The sequence below is a fragment of the Homo sapiens genome, chromosome 3 (assembly GCF_000001405.40).
Source record: "Homo sapiens chromosome 3, GRCh38.p14 Primary Assembly".
NCBI classification, from domain to species: Eukaryota; Metazoa; Chordata; class Mammalia; order Primates; family Hominidae; genus Homo; species Homo sapiens.
The window spans coordinates 147,659,402-147,663,294 of NC_000003.12; the positions used below are offsets into that span (position 1 = coordinate 147,659,402).

Genomic DNA, 3,893 nt, shown 5'->3' on the forward strand with positions numbered 1-3,893 from the left:
GTGGCCTTACCATTTTACATTCCCTCCAGCAATGCACAAAGATTCCAATTTCTCCACTATAGTCATGTGGCTTTTTTAGTGCTACTTCCCTTTCCTGCAGCAGAAACTTCTTTCTGTGTGGTAAGTTTGAGGTCTATCTCAAGATATGGTGCAACCAAAAAAGAATATTAAGGTGGGTGTCAGAGTGAGATTCAACTTGAGAATTCTATAGGACTAGGAAAATATCTCTGTAATATATGCTTTTGCTAGGCATGTGGAAAGCCCTAATCCTCCTTCTTCCAAGGAAAATAAGTTTGATCCCTTCTAACTGAAAAGATTTAATAGGTGTTAAAATGATTGAGACTTGAGCTTGAGGAATTGCAGAATTTTAATACCTAGCATAAAACATCCAACAGAAGCATACTTAAAAATTCTATATAATACAGGAGGAGGAAATTGGAAATAAAGAACCATTAAAATGAATTTCTTGTGTGGCATTAAAAGGAGGCCTGGGGAACTATCTTCATGGCTATATTTTCCAAATTACACAGTAAATATATTAATCGAAATGGTGCTAGATATAGCTTTTAGATACAGCTTTTAATTCATATCTATTTGCACCTGTAGTTGAGAAAGTTGGGGAATCTAAAACCATTAAGAGAATGTAACTGCTCTTGGAGAAGACAAGGTTTGGGGACTTGATGATATACTCAGCCTGGGGACTATGACAATGGGGAAAGTGTTTGCACCTGTTTACACAGGTGTCCTACTTTAAAAGTCCTCCTCCTCCTACTACAATAAAACCAAGTATTCTGGAGATAGAGAAGTGGCTCTGTATTAAGGAGTAGGCTGATGCCAAAAAAAATTTCCTAATTTCAGATCAGGTAGAGTGGAACCCATTCTATTTCCGCAGCTTCAAGATAGAGGGCCTAAAATGTCGAGATGCACCTTGTAGGTATTTTCACTGACTGAACTTGCACCAGAGCGTTTTCCAAGTGTTTATGTCCTAGTATTGAAAGACAGAATGCTCTGATGTTAAAAGCCCTACCTCATGGAGTTGGAGTCTGTAGAATCACCAAGAAAAAGCTGGTGACTGGTATCCACACAGCAAGCCTCACACCACGGGATCACTTGTGTCCCTGCTGCGGGAAGCAGAAGAATGGTGATCTTTAAGATCCTTCTGCTCTAGCATTTTTAAGTCTCCTTTAGCATTGCCCAAGCATGGTTCAGCTTCCTTTAAATTGCTATATGTACTGTTTTACTACCTGTGGTTTGAGATGGCTCAGTGACTCGTCACTGCTATGTTTACATTTATTTATTCCAGTTAAATCTTTATATATCCTAATCAGTTTTTATTTCTATGCATAGATTTTAATACTTCACTTTTTAAACACTTGATTGATCCAATTACTATAATGTTACCTCATCACTTTCATTTGTCTTTTGTGCTTTTTTAAGGAGGTAGCATCCATCTAGTTTAGTTGTAAGATGAAGTATCCTTGCTCATAGGAGACAATTAATTTGTGAACCCTCACAATACCTGTTATTTAACCCAAGAAATTAACCTTTGGAACGAAATGTGTTTTCTTCCATCAGCAGGTCCCTTTAGTGTTCCCAAGCCACACATGAGCCACACTTTAAAAGCAGATTAGAACTGACAACAATTAGTCACATGTCTGAATTTTTGACGGAAAATAAAAATGAGCTGTTGTGCACAGAAGTCCAAAATTCATCTCTCTTTTGCCTAAGGTTTTCTTTCCTCAATATCCCTTCCCAGTTTAATATAAGACTGTTGACTTAACAATGATGTATTTCAAGCTGAAGGCAGAAATGAATTTTGCATTAATAAATTGTTTTGAGATGGACTCAAAGAGTATTTCATTATATAGGAAAGGTAGCTATAAAACATGTTTGGTGGTCTTTCCATCATTACTACCTGTGGCCCATTTGTGGAGATGACATTTATCAGTGTGACAGAGAATATTAAGCAAGTGATAGACAGTTATTAGCTGAAGTCCTGATATATTTACACCATGGGAAAATGCACTTGGTATTTTCTTTCTGGCAACTGGTCTGCTGTTCATAATTTGATGGAAAATTGATTAATCACACATTTAACTCAATGCAAGATCTTCTACACTGTAATAAATTATGGCCATTAATCAATAACTACAAAGTAATTCCAGGAGTCTGGAGACATGCTGGTTTCTAATAGAAAAACTTGCACTTAGGCCTTCCTGCCAGTGACCACTTCATCTGAGGTATTTTGCACCTGCCTCAAACCAATTAGATGACATAATTAATGAACCTCAATACTCTTGATAATTTGTTATACAAAAGAAAGAATGTTTTGGCACATTCATTAAAACCTGATGTACAACACTTTGCAGAAAAGTAAAAAGAAAATAAAAAAAGATGAACCAAAACAAGAGAGGGGCTTATGCTGGGAATCTTGGGGTTTAAGCGTATATGTGGGAAGGCACATTCTTACTTCACGTTTGGTGAAGATTCAGTTGCATTTGTTAAAACAATCCAACAGAGTCTCTTTTCGTTAGAAAAGTGAACTCAGCCTGTATACAAAGTTTCATGCCATCTTGTTTCTTTTATGACAAATTAAATGGTGTGATTAGAATAAGTATTCAGGAAGCATTGTTTCAGAGGCATTCTAATAAATGTTTCCTTGGTTAAGTATCAGTTACAGTTTTACATATCACAGTCATTTTGCACCTGTTCTATGCAGCTAACAATAGGCTCTCAATATATTTTAGTGAGAGAAAGCCTGGGAAGATAAAAAGAAAGCCAGTTTGCAGCTAATTCTGTCACTAGGAAACGGCAGGAGTAGATTGTGTTTAGAGACTTTGAAAAACAATTAGCTATGGATTATGGGTCTAAAAGGCCTTTCCTAACTGTACCTGGAAAATACTTTGCCCGTTTAATGCCTTCTAAGCTGTCACTGAGCTTGAACTTCAGTCCCAGTGATTAATGAAAAGCTGCAGGGCACAGCTAGAAGCTAAAGTCTCAATTATGAAAAAGCAGTAACTAGTTTAATGTGCTGATGCTTTTATACTTAAAGTGACAGCTATGAAAAATGGCAATATTTCCAATCATGCTTTAATAATTTATCATTCATTTATTGGCATGTCCAATGTGCTTTACTCCCACTGTTCTTTTTCTCTTTTTAGGCTCCTGGTGTTATAATACTGAAGAACACAATATGATCTGGTTCCTTAAAAGGCAGATCTTTCTTTTCAGAAACTGGGCCCCAAAAATATATTTTCTGTCTCTCTCTCTCTTTCTCCCTCTTAATAGATATAAGTCTTCCATCTTTATATCATCATTTATCTACATAATTTCCAATAAGTGCCACCACGTAGCAATAGAGTTTTTGAAAAGAGCATAATCCAGTGACCCTGTCCACTTCCAGGTCACAAAATGTCACCTTAATTTCTGACAGACACCTTAAATTATATGCCTTTAGCTGATTACAAAAGAAACCAGACAAGGTTGGTGGGGGAATCAGTTTAAGTCCACTCTTGCCAAGGGGAAATAAATGCAGATGCACATATGGTAGGCAATATAATCAAATTTTAGAGCAGTAAATGATGTAGGGGAAGATAGACAAATTTTTGAGGTTAATGATAACAAGGTACCTTATAAAATTATTTAGGTTTAATTTTACATTTTTAATTTCAGTACTAAATTGGTTGGTCCATAGGTGTAATCATTTCCTTGATGTAGTTTATTAGATTATGTTAGACTTTGTTTACCATCAAAGGTACAGGGCTTGCTGTAGTACCTGGCACAGCACCTGAAGAGTATACAAATAAACAAGTGAATAAATTGAATCCGCAAAGCTGGGCTACTACTCAATTTCAGTTAAATTTCTCAAGTATTGCTTGAGTGCCCACTGTGTA

The 3,893-nt window shown here is 36.3% G+C and overlaps 1 annotated feature.

Moving 5' to 3' along the window:
- Positions 1,359–3,415: an enhancer, noted in NCBI's record as "VISTA enhancer hs1173". NCBI's record gives its function as "enhancer in: neural tube[7/7] | hindbrain (rhombencephalon)[7/7]" and the evidence as "EXISTENCE:transgenic organism evidence [ECO:0001131][PMID:17130149]".